This window comes from Homo sapiens, chromosome 20, assembly GCF_000001405.40.
Source record: "Homo sapiens chromosome 20, GRCh38.p14 Primary Assembly".
Lineage (NCBI taxonomy): Eukaryota > Metazoa > Chordata > Mammalia > Primates > Hominidae > Homo > Homo sapiens.
The window spans coordinates 59367891-59384501 of record NC_000020.11 but is presented as its reverse complement, the minus strand read 5'-3'; the positions used below and the strand labels follow the sequence as shown (position 1 = coordinate 59384501).

At 48.9% G+C, this 16611-nt stretch overlaps 1 annotated feature.

Moving 5' to 3' along the window:
- Positions 8137 to 8638: an enhancer, noted in NCBI's record as "H3K4me1 hESC enhancer chr20:57950919-57951420 (GRCh37/hg19 assembly coordinates)". NCBI's record gives its function as "activates a minimal SCP1, AML or CMV promoter by ChIP-STARR-seq in naive H9 embryonic stem cells {active_cell/tissue: H9 hESC(naive)}" and the evidence as "EXISTENCE:reporter gene assay evidence [ECO:0000049][PMID:30033119]".

Below are 16611 nucleotides of genomic sequence, written 5' to 3'. Positions count from 1 at the left end.
CATCACTTCCTTACTCATCTCCCTCCCCACTCCCCTCCTCTGCCTCACCTCCTTCCCCCCCACCTCCCCCACATCCTCCCTATCACCTCCTTCCCCCCACCTTCCTCCCCACTCACCTCCTCCCCATCACCTCCTTCCCCCGCCACCTCTTTCCCCCCTCACCTCCTCCCCATCACTTCCTTCCCCTCTACCTCCTCCCTGCTCGCCTCCTCCCTGCTCACCTCCTGCCCACTCACCTCCTATCACCTCCTTCCCCTACTCATCCCTGCTCTACTCATCTCCTCTCTGCTCACCTCCTGCCCACTCATCTCCTCCCTATCACTTCCTTCCCGCCACTCCACTCCCATCCCCACTCCACTCACCTCCTCCCTGCTCACCTCCTCCCTGCTCACCTCCTCCCCAGTCACCTCCTGCCCATTCACCTCCTCCCCATCACCTCCTTCCCCCCACCTCCTCCCCCATCACTTCCTTCCCCTCCACCTCCTCCCCGCTCACCACCCCCCTGCTCATCTTCTCCCTGCTCACCTCCTGCCCACTCACCTCCTCCCTATCACCTCCTTCCTCCACTCATCCCTGCTCACCTCCTCCCTGCTCACCTCCTGCCCACTCATCTCTTCCCCATCACCTCCTTCTCCCCCACCCCCTCCCCACTCACCTCCTCCTCCACCCCAATCATCAGCTCTCACATTTGAGGATGGAGGAGCTGGAGCTGTCTCCCAACACAGCCGAGGGTTGTTTGCTTTCACGGTGGTTCCAGGGCCACAGAACAGTCCCCTGGCTTGGTGGAAGCACAAAACCTCAGCAGCCAAGAGAGGTGTGTGGGCCAGTGGGACCGTGTGTGGGTCAGAGGGACTGTGTGTGAGCCAGAGGGACTGTGTGTGGAGCCATGTGAGCTGGAGGGAGACCGTGTGCGGGCCTGAGGGGCCTCATGTGGGCCAGGGGCCCCAGAGACAGGCGGCTACTGGAGGCCCCTGCCATTGTCTCAGCTTGTAGCTCTGAAATTCTGCACCTGTCAGATTTCTCTGAGAGAGCTTATTTCAGAAATAGATCCCAGACCTCTTCTAAGAAAAAGCCCAGGCACCCTGAGTGCTGGCTCCTGAGAGCATGGTTCTGTCAGGGCCCTGGAACCAGCATTTTTAGCATGGTTCCTCAGGAGAAAACGACTTTGGGAGCTGGGAGACCTCACTTGAGAGACACGGGCCTTGGGGCTGCACCTGCCCCGCAAACTCTAACCAGGCGGCCTGGAGGACAGGTTTCCCAGCGTCGGTGAGCTTGCTTCCCCTCCTCCCATGCGCTCAGCACCTCAGGAGATGCACACACACATGTGGGGAGGCTGCCACCTGTCTCTCACCACATGGGGACACAGGAGGTACCAGGAGCCAAGCCAACGTGCCAGTGGGAGGTCATAACAGTCCCAGCCTAGAACCCCCTCAAAGAGGGCTTCCCAGAGGAGGTGGGCTGGGAGCTGGGTCCTGAGCAGTGGGGGTTTCAGGCCTGGAGGGGGAATACCTTGAATAGTGGGCACAGCCTGAGGAAGAGGCCTGGAGACTAGGCAGGGCGAGTGTGGCCTGAGAGCGGGATAGGCGCACCAAACAGCAAGATGGCCAGAGACATCTGGAGTGGAGCCACCTCCTGAATTATCATGGCCCCGTTTCCAGCCTTGGAAAACCCCCTTGTGCCTTCCCATCCGCCCCACCTGTGGTAGGGGCACAGGGGCAGGAGAAACATCGACAGGGGTGAGGCCAGATTCTCAAATTGGCCTGGGTTGCAGAGGGAGGATGCCAGAGAGAGTTCCAGATGCCTGGCAGAGCTGTGTAGACAGATGCCCACAGGCAGACACAAGCACAGCCCAGGCCCGCAGCCCAGTAAGGCACCCTGGGGGGCCACCGGAGCTGCAGACATTTGAGAGACAGCCGCAAGGCTCTCTCTAGAAACATAAGCTAATGGTTTCTGCAGCCCGGGTTTCTAGCCCATCGGCCGGTTCCCCTGTGCATGGGCTCTGCTTCCAGAAAGGACTACTTCTGAGAAAGCCGCTGGTCGTCAAACCTCCAACCTCCCTGCGCCAGATCCTTCAATGCCGAAGTTGAGTTACTCGATAGAACAATCAACAACTAATTTGGCTCCCACAACGCTGGTTGATAAATCACGGAGAAGGTGGTTTCCTAGAACAGTGTGTTTTTCGCTCCGAAACAGCAGCCACACAGCTGCAGGCTTTCAAGCCAGAGCAAGCATGCAGGAAATTAAACGCGTCCGTCTTTGCCAGTACCCCGGACCTCTGCTCAGCATCCATTTTAACCACACTTTATATATTTATATATACACAGACATATATATACATATACAAATTACCATGAAAAAGGCTGCAAACCTGACGCTGTAATTATGGGCTGCATCTGACCCTAGCAGGCACCTGCCAGGAAGAGGCAGGGTAAGCAGCTCTGCTACTAGGCATGTTAATTGATTCTCTTATTGAACTTGGTTATTAGCGGGCTCATCTTCCCGGGGAAAGTGATGGGGTCCTCACCTGTCAGACTCGGGGTGAAGCAGGAATGAGGCGGTGATGACTGCCTGCCGGGCCCTGGCCCTCCCAGCTTCCTGCACAGGACAGAGGAGATGCCAGGGAGCAGAGGTCCCTTTCCTGCCTGGGCAGGGGTGGGAAGCCCTGCTCTCCCAGCGGCTGGCCTCTGTCCTGCCTGGGGCGCAGCAGCTTTCTCCCTTGGCCCTGCTGCCTTGCCTTCCTTCCTCGGCTCTGCCCCTTCCTGGGCACCCATCCCTAGGGCTCACCCCACAGTGAGGGTCACTCCTCAGAGCCTTGGCCTGTCGCCTGTCCCAAGAATGTCTTTCTGGTGCCAGGCACTGCCCAAAACCAAAGGGCTGACAAAAACCTGGCCCTTTCCAGTTTCCAGGTCCTCATCCAAGGAAAAGGCGGGCAGGGGCCATCAGCCAGCGATTGGTGGGGAAGGGATTATTTTTCTGGGGCCCTGCAGACACTGCTCTGAGGCTGGGGCACAGGGCAACCCCTTGACTCCATTTGACCTCCAAGGCAGCCCAGGGAGCACATAACTTGCCCTATTTTATAAAAGGGGGGCCTGGAGCTCGGGAATGTGGCAGGACTGGCCAGAGACCACCGGGTTAGGAGCAGCCAGACCTGAAACTGAATCCCAGTCCTGCCGCCAAAGCTCATGCTCTGAACTGCCCTTCAACCTGCCTGCTACCCTTTCCACTCAAAGAATGAGCTGTGCTTCCAGGCTCTTCTTGGGCTCTGTCCACCCACCCGGTGACACAGGGTGTGTGCCCCTGAGGCTGCCTTGTCTCAGCTGCACTGTGGTGTCCAGGGAGCAGAGAAGGGTGAAGGTGAGGTCCAGAGGGGCTGAGGCACAGGGGTGGGCTGGCTTTGTCTCCTCACTGAGTACCCAGGGCCAACACCTTGAGCAGGAAGAAAAGCCCAGGCACCCTCAGCTCCAGCTCTGGACCCAGCCAGACCTGGGATGGGAACCCACAGCCTCTTCACAGCCGTGCACTCCGAAGGATGCTATTCAACCTCACGCAGGCTCAATGTCTCCCAAACACAGCCACTGGCATGCTCCTTTATGATTTCAGCCCCTTCTTCATCCTACCCAGACTACCACTTGCAAGACTGTTTTCTCTAAATCAACTCTAGGTGGACTTACTTTATAGAATTTAACCCACTCCTAGTCAATAATGACCGTGAAATCCCAGACTGCATGAGCAATAAAACATTTTCTAATACCTACCAAGGTCCGTAAACCCATAGCTATGAAAACAAAAAATACCTGCCCACAATCCATCAGAAATCTCCCACCAGTGGTGTGTAGACCTGACCCAGGTTGTGGCTGTATTGGAAACCCTTAGCACGGTGCCAACATGCAGTAGGCACTTCATAAATGGGGCTTCTTCTGTAATTGTAAGATAGACACCAAGAAGGCCTTGGAAGCCGATCTGGACCTGGGAATTGTCTTCTCCAGGACTTTCTCTAATCTCTCCCCATATTCCATATTCCCATCGTACCTTGTTGGCGTTGCTCCCTTCTCAGGTTCCTATAGCCTGCTAGCTGTTTGCGGTCACTCTGGCCTGTTTCCTCCCCCGCTCCCTGAGGGTCCTGTACCACATGTTAGCCCTGAGCCGCATCTCCTTTTGCAGGTTCTCTCGGGACACATAAGAACAGGACTCTGGGACAGTTGACCCACATACCTCTATCTCTGGATTGCAGGGAACCAATCTTCCCTCCAAGTCTAAAGAGATTCTTTGCACCGTTCTTGCTCCAAGGGCCTGAAATCACCCCTCTGTTTAATGACCAGATTCTTCCTTTAGTCTTTCCCTTCCTATAATTGTAGCACAAAATAAAGGTCCTGGAAAGGGGATGAGGTTGTGCCTGGGGGATCTTGGCCCTGATCCCTCCCCTGTCCCTGCAGAGCTCTGAGGATGAAGTGGGTGTTGGAGGCTCTATGTTCCCACTGGACAGTCCTGGGTTCTCCCCACAATGCAGTGATGTTCTGGGAGCTTCCAGTGTGCTCAAGAACCTGTTACTCCATGCAAAGCACTCAGAGACCCACTTCTGCTGCTCTTTCCCAGCACGGAGCTTCCGCCGGTGGGAGGCTCTGGGTGGGACTTTTAAATCATCCATGTTCACATGATCAGGAAGAGCAGAACTGCAATTTACCCCCTAATCATGGGAAACTATGTCCTGGTAAAACATCTATGAAACCAGAACAAAGATCAGGTTCCCTGCCACCATCACCTGCTCTTCTTTTTTCTGGGACCCCACATAGTTCCTTGGTCATGCATGTAACAACCTATGCTTGTAGGTGTAGTTGTGGTGGCCTCTGTTGGATACCTGTCACCACAATAGATTTCAAGCTTCCTGAGGGCAGGAACCACATCTGCTTCCTGGCATATCACTGACTCCTCAGCAGGGAGAACAGTGCCTGGGCATGGTAGGTGCTTGGTGGGCACTTGGTAAAGATTAGAAGGCAAAAGGGCAGTTGTTGAGGAGGTGGTGGTTAGCTAACGAAGACTCCCACTGTACAGCTGGCTCCAGTGTCCAGGGTCTCCCAGACACTAAAGACCTGTCAATGTAAGTTCTTTAGGCTCTTTTTTGGGTTACTAAAAAGTGCTCCCCTACGTTAAGGAGGCCAAATTGGACAATTTTAATTTCCCCCAAATGCTAGTATTCGAGAGCTCTGCAAAACCAGAGAGGTCAGGGTCAGTTGCCTGAATTACTATTGGATGTTATTAATAGGACCTTGAGTTATTAAGAAAAGGCAAAACGATGCTGAGTATGTTCTGTTCACTAAGGCAAGAAACTATGCGAAGTATCCGGCAATGATGTCCATCAAAAGGAAAGAAGTTTCAGTGCTCAGAGCAGTTTCTGCTTCCCCTCACTGGACAACTCACTTATCCCAAACACTTTGTGGCCTCAAATGTCTGACAGAGGTCATTGTTGTGGAGGCTCTGGATGCTTTTGCTGAATTTTGACATTCTTTAACCATGCTCACTTGAACTATTGATTAAAATCAGGAGTTCCCCTTGCAGTTCACTTTTTCAATAATGCTAATTTTAGGAATTAAGTTAAAACTGACAATGTGTCTGCTCCTAACATGTGTAATGACTTGAATCATGAAATTAGATAACTCATGAACTCCAGGATCAAACAGGTAATTGGGCCAAACACTGCCAATAAACTTGGCACCCAACTACAAGAACATGAAGCCCACCACACACTAAGGCCCTCAAAGACCCCTGTGTACACACTGGCTTCAAACCCCCAGCCAGGGGTTTCCTTCAGGGCCAGAAGGAAACTTTTCCAGTTAGGACAAATGAGTCATCTTGTTTTCAAAGTTCTTTGTATTACAAAGATATTCTACCCCAGATTATCATCATTCATTCCAGAGTTTAATATCCTGAGACATCAGGAAGTTGTCCACAGTATCTAAATTAAATTCTTTCTTCTGAAGCTCAGATCCATTTCCTTCTGAGTAGATAATAAACTGCCAGCCACAACTGTCTGTGCAATAACTAGAGATCCATAGATTTTTAGCATTATTCTGATCTAAACCCCTTTCAGAAGGAAACCACACTCCGAAGTGATCAAATGTCTTGAACAAGATTAATGGAGAGGTAAATGCATTGCTGGTCTTAGAGTCCAAGACTCCTGCAGCCCTCAATGGCCTCCACCCCCAGCCCGCTACCCATCGCCCTCTTGCAAGGAGCTTTACAGAGTAGGATAGAGGACACCAAGAGTGTCTGATGAAGGATGGGAACAGCCACATCACAAGGAAGGAAATTACAGTTGGCTTTGAAAGTCTATGAAGAGTTTCCCAGCCTCACTTATAATAAGAGCGATGCAGATGAGGTGTCTATCAGATTGGCTCCGTTACAGAGTCAGACAACACCCTGTGATTGCTCTGCATGAGAAACTCGATGCCCTTGAACATTGCTGATGGGAGTAGAAAGAGCAACTCATGCAGAGCTGTCAGCAGCATCCCTCTAGACTAAAAAGGGGTGTGCCCTTTGACTTGGCAACTCCTTGTCAAGGAATTCATCCCACAAACATTCTCACACTTGCCCAAAGATATGAGAAGAACACTATAGATGCAGAGTAAAAGGGTAATGGCTCTGTAAATTGGGGTTCACCCATACAAAGCTACAGGACATCACTGAGAATGAGTCAAGTCCATCTGCACTCATGCTGAACTGTTTGTCAAACACCCTGTTAATTGAGAAAAGCAAGGTACAGAAAAAAAAATGCACATTATATGTACTTATTTGCATAAAGAGTAAGAGGGTCATTATGCAAAATTATGCATAGAATATGTGTATGAATGGAATATCCCTAGAATGATGTTCAAAAGATTATTATCTATTGTCTCTGAGAAGGGGGACGGGAGAACCAGGAAAGGATAGAAATGGATTTTGGTGTCTCTCTTTTGCTATTTTTTGAAGCTGTTAGCATATGCTTGCACATCTCACGTAACACATTTATTCACACATTGACATGGCATAATATAGCATGCCAAGTTGATCATGGCCTTCAAAATCAGACAGGCCTGGCTTGAGGGCCAACTCTACCACTTCATGCCTACTGGTGACCAAGTCTCGGTTTCTTCATCTGTCAAATAGGGAGAATCCTGGTCTCACGAAGCTGCCGAGAGTTCAGTGTGCAGGAGGCTTGGGTCTTGGACAGCACACAGGGAATGGTGGTTGCTTTGCCAGCTGCCCTTGTGGAAGCAGCCGGGGGTGATTTTCTTTGCCTACATGTGAGTACACTCAGACAGCTGAGGTGTCTGACATGGTTTTACTTTTAAAGGTCAGAAGCAGATCTGAGGATTGCAAGGCCTCATCTGTTCCAGGAAGCACATGGTCTCAGCTGCTCCACAGACGCTTCCTGCTCCTCTTTGCTGGACTTAGAGCTCTCCTGGTGACTTCTCGACCACACTCCAGGATTGTTTGTTATGTCTTCACTGTTCTGCCCGTTTCATCTCGCGTCCAGGCCGTCCATCACTGAGGACATTCACAGAATGCTCCCCTGATCTCCTTTGCAGACAATGTTCAATGTGATCTTAGGCAAGTTTCTCAGCTACTAGCTCCACTTCTCCACTGTAGTTTGGAGATCTGATTTCAAACTTGGTGGCTGTGATACTTAAATGATGGAGTCAGTCTAGCATTGTGCAAGCAATCGAGAAATGGTCATCATCATCGCCATCACTATTGTCACCCTCCTCATCATTCTAAAATGTATTATGAGTGAGTTGGCTTGAAATGTCCCTCATGGGAGCCTGAGAGAGTAAGAAACAGGCAGGGGGCAAAAGGAACCCACGACATGATTTGCAGAGCTCTGGCAGCGTGCCAGGGAGCTGCTGTGAACGAGGCCAAGACCAGCAAGCTGACCTTTCCCTGCGCTTTGGGATTTTTAAGGAGTGAGATATTGAGGTCGAGGGGTGGCCCCCCTGTGGCTCAGGGCTGTCTATCAGGATTGACCTTGCACTGGGCAGTGGGGAAATAAATCGATCTTGCATCAATCACTATAACCTTTCCCCATGCCCGGCTGAGGCTCTTCTTGCCAGGTGGTGGCCATCTTAGCCAGCAGCAAGTGGCCTGGCCCAGCCGACTTGCCTGAGCAGATCCCTGCAACACACACCTGAATGGAGACTCCAGGCCCTTGGGAGTCAGCTGTGGGGCTTGGCTGTGGGCCCTGTGAGGCAAGGCCTTTGCAATCCTGACACGTGGTTCAATGGAGACAAAGGAGTCAACCTGGAGAACAGAGGACCTGCTACCTCCCCTTGTCCTTGCTTGATCCCTAACCGGACTGCTTAATCCAGAAACTGAGGGCTTTGAGGGGCTAGGACTTCCCACGAGGGCTATTCTGAGTGGCACATGGCCCTGCCCTCCCTGGCGGCACTTCTCTTTCTAAGGTGACCTCTGCTGTGTGTACTGAGACCCCTGCTAGCAGCTCCCCACTCATCCCAACTCATGGAGCCACCAGCTGTTTTTTGACTTTGTCCATAGAGTATCCCAGGTGAAAGCAACCAAGCTTAATCATAATACAATACTATCCTTTGTTTCATAAATTAAACCACAATGCCACACCATTACATTCACATAAGAATGACAAGAATTAAAAAGACCATTGAAACCAAGCCTTGGCAAGGATCTGGAGCAACAGGAACTCTCAGAAGCTGCTGAGAGTCATGGGAAATGGCACAACCACGTTGGAGCTTTCTGTTTTTAATAAAATCTATACAGTAATCATTGTGCAGCCCAGCAATTCCACTCCTAGGAGTTTATCCAAGAGAAATCAGAACATATGCACAAATTCCTGATGGTTTAATTCATAGCAGCCTCAAACTGCGAACAACCCACATATTCCTCAATAGCAGGATGGTAAACAGATTCAGGGATGTTCATACAATAAAATGCTAGCGAGAAAAAAAATAACAGGCCAAGCACAATGGGTCACACCTGTAATCCCATCACTTTGGGAGGCTGAGGTAGAAAGATTGCTTGAGCCCAGGAGTTTGAGACCAGCCTGGGCAACATAGTGAGACCCCATCTCTAAAAAAAATTTTTTTTAATTAGCTGGGCATGGTGCTGCACAGCTGTTGTGGTCCCAGCTATTCAGGAGGATGAGGCAGGAGGATCACTTGAATCCAGGAGGTTGAGGCTGCAGTGAGCCATGATTGTGCTACTGCACTCCAGCCTGGGCAGCAGACTGAGATTCTGCAGAAAGAAAAGAAAGAGAGAAAGGAAAGAAAGAAAGAACAAAAGAAAGAAGGGAAGAAAGAGAGAGAAGGAAAGAAGGAAAGAAGGATGGAAGGGAAAAGAAGGGAAGGGAAGAATGGAAGAAGAGAAGGGAAGGGAAGGGGAGAGAAAAAGGGCAGGTGGGTGGGAGAAAGGAAGACATAACCACTTGCTAATACAACACAGATGATTCTTAGAGCCTTAGGTGGAGTGACAGACCCAGGCATGAACGAGTACATCTGCATCATCCCACCCATATGAAGTTCTAGAACAGGCAAAATTAACCTGTAGTAAAGAAATCAGAATATTGTTTGCCTCTGAGTAGCCAGGGTTGAGGTGGTGTGATATCACCTGGAGGAGGAGGGGACAAGGGAACTTTCTGGAGTGATAAAACACCACACATCTTGATTGGGATGGTGATTACATGAGTATATACATAGAATTTATAAAACCGTAAACTTATAATTTGAGTATTCTATTGAATGTAAATATACCTCAAACAAACAAAAAAGTGGGGAAAGAACTTCACATTTCCCAAGGCCAGATTTTTACCCAGCTTCTTTATCAATGTCTCTGAAATTTCAATTGTATTCCCTCTGCATGCAAAGACCCCACTGGCAGGGTCCTTCTATCTTTCAAGTGTATGGACTTAAAAAGTGCATCCTTTAAACCATTTGCAGGAAAAAGGAAGCTGAGAATAGTTTAGAGCTATTCTGAAGATGTGGTTGACATGCATGGAATTGTTCTGTATACATTCACACTTCTGGATGTTTTATTGCCTAATAAGGAGAAAGTTATACATGCCATTTCTCAGCCTTGGAATTCCTGTTGGAGCAATATATCGAGGCAGAGGAGAGTCTGTGTTATCAGTGATGGAATTTTGTTTATGGGGGCAAAAGGTACCCTGGAGCCTGCCTGGTAGTCTGGTGTAAGGAACAGCTCTCAGGTGATTGATGAAATGGCTTAATTGCTCAAGAAGCTGGATGTGCTGGCTGTGCCCTAGCAGGGGCTGAGCCCTCCAGAGCCAGAACACAAACACCTCTGTGGAGTTTGTTGGAGTTGGTCTTGACCTTGCTGCCCATTCCCATCACTGAAAGTTTGCTTGTTCTGCCCCCTACCCCACCACAACTCCTACCCCACAACACTTTTTTTTTCTTCCTGAAAATGGGGTCTTGCCAGCTTGGGGGTTGCCCAAGCTGGTCTTGAACTCCTGGACTCAAGTGATCCTCCCACCTCTGGTTCCCTAAGTACTGGGATTACAGGAGTGAGCCCCACTCCTGCCCCCAACCCCCAAGGAGGAGGAGGAGGCATCTCCTCCTCTTTCCTGAAAAATTCACAAAGAAGTCTCACCTCTTTTGCCTGTTAGAACCTCGCTGTAGCCCTGAGAGATGGGGTCACTAGCTCCATCATGCAGGGAGAATGGTGAGGCTCCAGAGTGGCTGAGTAGAACCCGTGAAGCTCAAACAGTGAAGAGTGGTTGAGCCAGGCAACCACTCAGCATGTCGCCTCCATCGTCATTGCCCGCCGGCCCACTTCCCTCCAACTATGCAAATCCTCCATCTGCTTTTCTCCAGAAATCTCTACTCATGTCTCTGTCCAAGCTCTGTCTGCCTCCTTCCATAGTACAATTCCTTGAACTGTTTACCATTTGATGTGAGCTCATCTCATAACACCTGGTTGATTCTCAACGTTTTTGAAATCTGCTCCTGAATTTGAGTTCCCAGAGCTGAACTGATTTGGGGAGAAGGATGGAATGGGGCCACAGAATGCTTAATAATATGGATTGATTGACTGATTGATTCATACCCTATTGGCAACCTGTTTTATGAGTCTCCTGGGGCATACACTCTTCCTGATTAGCATTTTTACTCCATCAACTAAGGATGCTGTGTATGATCTCACCATGTCAGCTCAAGAGCAAGCTCTAACGAATGTTTACTGTCTGCTTTGGAAGTGTGCATGCTGATCCTGGATCCCAGTTTTGAGAGGCCAAGTTGTGAAATGTCAAATGCCACATGCAATGCAAACACACTGGGGAGAGCCTGTGTAAATCAATTACAATAAGGTCACTAGCATTTAGGTGAAGGCAGTGCTACTGAAGGTGATGAGATCTGGAGGGTTTTGCTCAACAACAAGGTCATTTTGCCTTCATCAATCTATCGACCATTTTTCTCCCTGGAACTAAACAATAAAGTATGTTGCCCAAGTAAAAATGCTGTGGTAAAATATCCTTATCACTCAAGTAAGGCTCCTAAAGTGTCAAGTAGGAGGATGGGGGGAGGGTAGAGACAGATGGCTCTGGAATCATTCTGTTTGTCCTGACGCCATGAAGTTTCTAGCAGGTGCTTGGGTTTCTGAAGTTCTGGGTCTCCTTCTTTGCCTCTAATTCAACACCCTCCTCCTACTTTGTCAGTACCATAGGTTGTTATTATTTTCCTTTCTTGATATTTTTAAAAATCCATGTGCTTGGGAAAGCCGACAGAGCAGAAGGGTGCCACCCTGTGAATGGGAATAACCCTGCCATGTAATAGAGGCCAAGTGTGGCTCTACCTCAGACCTTGGTGGCGTCTTCAGCTCTAGCCCCAACTTCAATCTTAAACCAAAGCCTGAATGAGCCACAGCCCAGCCCAGGCCGGCCCTGGCTGGCCCAGCAAAGTGGTCTCATCCCTCGCCATCACCCCAGATGGAGCTGCCGAATTCACAGAGAAGGCATGTGCTCTTCAAGCAGCCAACACTATTAACTCATGGAACAAGTAAATTAGATTCGTGATGCTAAAAATTAAAAATGATGCTAACTCTTCTTTCAAAATGCTGACCCTAAATACAAACTTAAATTAAAATGCATGGAAGAAGAGGATGAGAGAAGGCTGTAAGGAAAGTGGGACCCAGTGAAATTGGGGGCACGAGGCAGTAGCTCCCCACAACCCCATGCCCAAAGAAAACCCCCACTTTAGAAAGTCCTTAACGTGCAAATTTCTGACACCAAATGGAAGCACCAACATCAACAATAAAAGGTGAACTGTGACTGTAAATAATGTAAGCTTCTTAGGCCCCTCCAGGGCAGAGCAGGGCTCCTCTCTGGGTTGAAGCTGAAGGCACCTGCTCAGTGGCAGAGCCTCTAATTGGGAATGTAATGGGTCTCCAGTCCTGGGCTAACCAGCAGTCCCTGGGGCAGTGACGCAGGCTGCTCCCCTCCTGAATTCGCCTGAGCGCCAGCACAGAGTGGCCCTTCCTCACCATCTAGTTTCATTGTCTAAAAATGTGACTGAAATGACAGCAGGATACTCCCCCCTGGGGTCCAAAGGGGTGACTGTGGTGCTGAAAGGCTCTGTGGACACTGGGCCTTTGGAAATGGCCAAAGCAGCAGCCTCCTTTTCCATGAGAAAGAGCCCCAAAGATTAAGCAGATATGGCTTGTTTTGGCCAAGCAAACTTGGGAGTTGAAGGTATCGGGATAAAGGATGTCAAGTTTCACAGTTCTGAAAACAAGTTCATCTCCAGCCAGCTGAGGAAGTCCAGGCCAAGGTCACAATCTGGTTGTTCAGCTGTCTGCACACACAGGACGGAGGCACCCACGCCCCTGGCTGTGGGCCAGGAGAGGCTACTTTATCTGTGGTTTGTCTTCTCAACATGGGGATATCGGAAGCACGCATGGAAGAGGTCAGGGAGAGAGGAAGGAAAGAGACCTGCATGTGGGGAGCTAGGCTCTCTCCCCCTCTTCCCATCTCTTTCTCATTCTTCCAAGAAACGAGCCAATGGGAAGATTCTGTTGGTCAATACTGGAAAATCTAGCAGTGACTGAAGAGGCCCAATACAATACACGAAGGGCTACGTGGACACAGCGCCTGGGCCATCCGGTTCTGGGAGTCGCAGACACAGGACTGGTGGTGCAGGGTCTCCTCCAGGACAAGGGACAGCATGTGTCACCGCTTCCTCCTGGTGTGAATGTGGGAGCAAGAGAGGTTATGATCTTTAAACACAGGGACTAATTGACTCTTGGACATGTATTCAGTGTGGCCCGGCCTTCCTTTCTCCTTCTTGAGTGTCGAAGACTCATCCTGAATTGGGAGTCGGATTGTCTATCCCCAGACATGATCTGAGCATCAGTGTTCCCAGCCACCTTTCTTATAGGCTGTGCTGTAGCCACAGGGGCCTCCCCTGGCCTCCTCAAACATCCCAGAGCATGCTTGCCTCAAGGCCCTTGCATTTGTTCCTCCTCCAGCAACATGCTTCTGCACGAACTGTATGTTGCTCTAGTCCCAACACAACTGTCACTCCCTTGGGGAGGCTTCGTTAACCTCCCATCTGAAGCACCCCCCATCCAGGCAAGTACCCCTCAGCCGCATCATCTTGTTTATTCTCTTGTTCTATTCTCTTCATAGCACTAGCTGCTATCTGAAATTATCATGTTTATTTATTGGCTGACTTTATTCTCTGTCCCCACATGCTCCCTTGAATGGGGAGCCATATGAAGGCAGAAATCGTATCATTTTGCTTACCATCGTACCCTCAGTGTCTGAAAAATAATTGTTGTATTACTGAATGAATGAAGGGTTGTTTTGAGGGTGAAATTTATAATAGACACCAATGGGTTTTGTGTACTTGTCAATAAATGTCACATTTATTATTGTTGTCAGTTATTATATTACTTATTATAGATTAGGCATGATTCTTTAAATAAGGCATTACCGTTCCTGACTCCTTGTCAGGGGTGGCCAGGCTCTCTCCTCGCCTAAGTCACTCTCCCTCCAGGGAAGCTTCAGGACTCTCCGGTCTACTTTGCCCTGCCTCCTTGGAAAGCCTGTGTCATGCACTGTTTATACTCCCCAGCTAAATGGCCAGTCCCTTGCCTTGTATCTCTAAGTACATGAAAGGCTCTCAGTAGCAAGTTGATGAGAAGTAGGGTGACTATTAGATTTGTGCAAAATTTTCATTAATTTGAATGCGGTTTTGATGGCATAATAGCCATGGTCTATCCATATCCCAGCTTGGCCCCACTACCCCTTCCCAGCAAGGCTCCTGAAGGGGACCTACACATACAAAGAATACCATTAAAATGAGGATGAGGCAAACTTTATTATTACCTGGGCAAGCGTCTAATACCTCCCAATGCAGAGCTCTGGAAGAGTTTCAAGGGACACTATAGCTTAGGCTCAAGAAGTCTTATTTCACCTGGGAACCCAGTTTCAAATTTTACTGCTGGGCATTGCCAAATTGAAACAGTACATATTATATTAAGCAAGAGGATCAGAGGGAGATGTAGTCATTAATTTGTTGAATGCATTCATCCCCATCAAGAAGGAAGATCAAAAATAGTTTGTCATTCACTTGGCATGGACAACAGGGTACATTTACAGTCTTGCCTGAGCACTATATTAATTCTCCTGTTCTCTGTCCTTCTGAAGGAACCTGGATTATAGGGATATTCCACTGAACATCACATTGGTTCCGTGATATCTGACATATCATGCTAATTGGACTGGATGAGCAAGAAACGGCAAGTTGGAACTCTTGGGAAGGCACATGTGTTCCAAAGGATGGGAGAGCCTGACCTCTACAAAGGTCCAGCCATGTCAGTACAGTGGTCCAGTAGAGTGGTCCAGTCATCTGGGGGCATAACAGCACATCCTCTCCAAATAAAAAACAAATTATTGCATCTCATACTTTTTACCACAAAGATGAAAGGATAACACTGGAAGACCTCTGTGGGACCTGAAGATGCATGTTCCATACTTTGGAAAACTACTCCAACTAATTTAGTGAGTGGTACACAAGGCTGCCCATTCCAGTGGGGATCAAAGCAGAAAAAAGCTGTGCAGCAGGTCAAGGCTGCAGCATAAGTGGCCCTGCTGCTCAGATCATATGACCCAGCTGAACTTATTATACTAGAGGTGTCAGCAACAGGAAAAGATGGCATGGCAAATCCTAGTAAGAGAGTCACAGTGTAGGCCCACTTGGGTGCTGGAGCAAGGCCAACTGCAATAGAGAATTGTTGACCATTTTAAGAAGAGCTCCTGGTGACCTCCTCAGCCCTGGTGGAGATGTGGAGCCTGACTATGGATCATCAAGTGACCCTCAGGCAGAACTACCCACAGTAAGTTGGGTTCTCTTAGATCCATCAAGTCATAAAGTCAGGAAGATCCAGGAACAATGTATTCAAGATGGAAGTGGTACTTCGAGGATCAAGCACAAGCAGGAGCAGGGGGCACATGTAAGCCCCAGGAGCAGGAGGAAGTCTAGACTCCCTTGTCATCTACCATGGTGGCACCAGCCCCTCTCCCTTTGCTCAAAGCATTGCCAGCTGAAGACGGGGGTGGTTCCTTTATGATGAGCTGAAAAATGAGAAAAAATCCTGAGTTTGGTTCATGAGTGGGTTAATCGCATGTGAGTGAAAACCAAAAACAGATACCAGGTGCACCATATCACCACTCAGAAGTGACCCTGAAAGACAGCAGTGAAAGAAAATATTCCCAAAGGTACAGCAAAACTGCACAGCTTTGGGCAGTGCACCTGGCCATCCATTTTTGTTTGAAAAAAACAGTAGTTCAATGTAAGAATATACATGGACTCAGGGGCTGAGGTAAATAGCTTGACTTGTCAGTCAGAGGTCTTGAGAACAAAGACTTAAACATTTGGGACAAGGAGGTCTGAAAAAGAGGCTTCTGGAAGGACCCGTGAAAGTTGTCATACAGTGCTAAGATTGTTGTACTATATGTTCAGGATAGAGAGCATCTATCTTGGAAGCCACTAGAGCATCTATCTTGGAAGCCACTAGACAGCCAAGTAGACACAATGAGTAGGCCAGCTGACATCAGCTAGCATTTGTCATCAGCTACTGTTGATGGCACCATGAGTTCATTAATGGAATAGCTATGGTAGCACAGGTAGAAGCTACACATGAGCCCAACAGCATGAACTCCCCACTTACCAAGGTTGATCTAGCTACTGCTACCACCAAATATCCATCCTACAAAAATCTACCCATATCAGTATAGTGGCTCAATCATCTGGGGAGACACACACAGAGCTTCTAATATGCCCTTTAGCTTCTAATATGCCCTTGAGAACACCACCAACCAGCTACTTGGTGGCAAGTTGATTCCACAGGACACTTTCCACCTTCAAAAGGGCAGCAATTTCTCTTGATTGGGGTTAACATATTCAGGATATGGGTTTGCCTTTACTGTGCCTCAGCGAGCCCTACACTCTGAATGCTAACACAGTATTTGATCTGACAGTACAGGATCCCGCATATATCACATTATACTAAGGACTCTTCAGAAAAGGAGTTCTGGTGTTAGGCATATGGTTGTTGAATGCCTGGTGTTAGGCATATGGTTGAATCCTGGAGGAG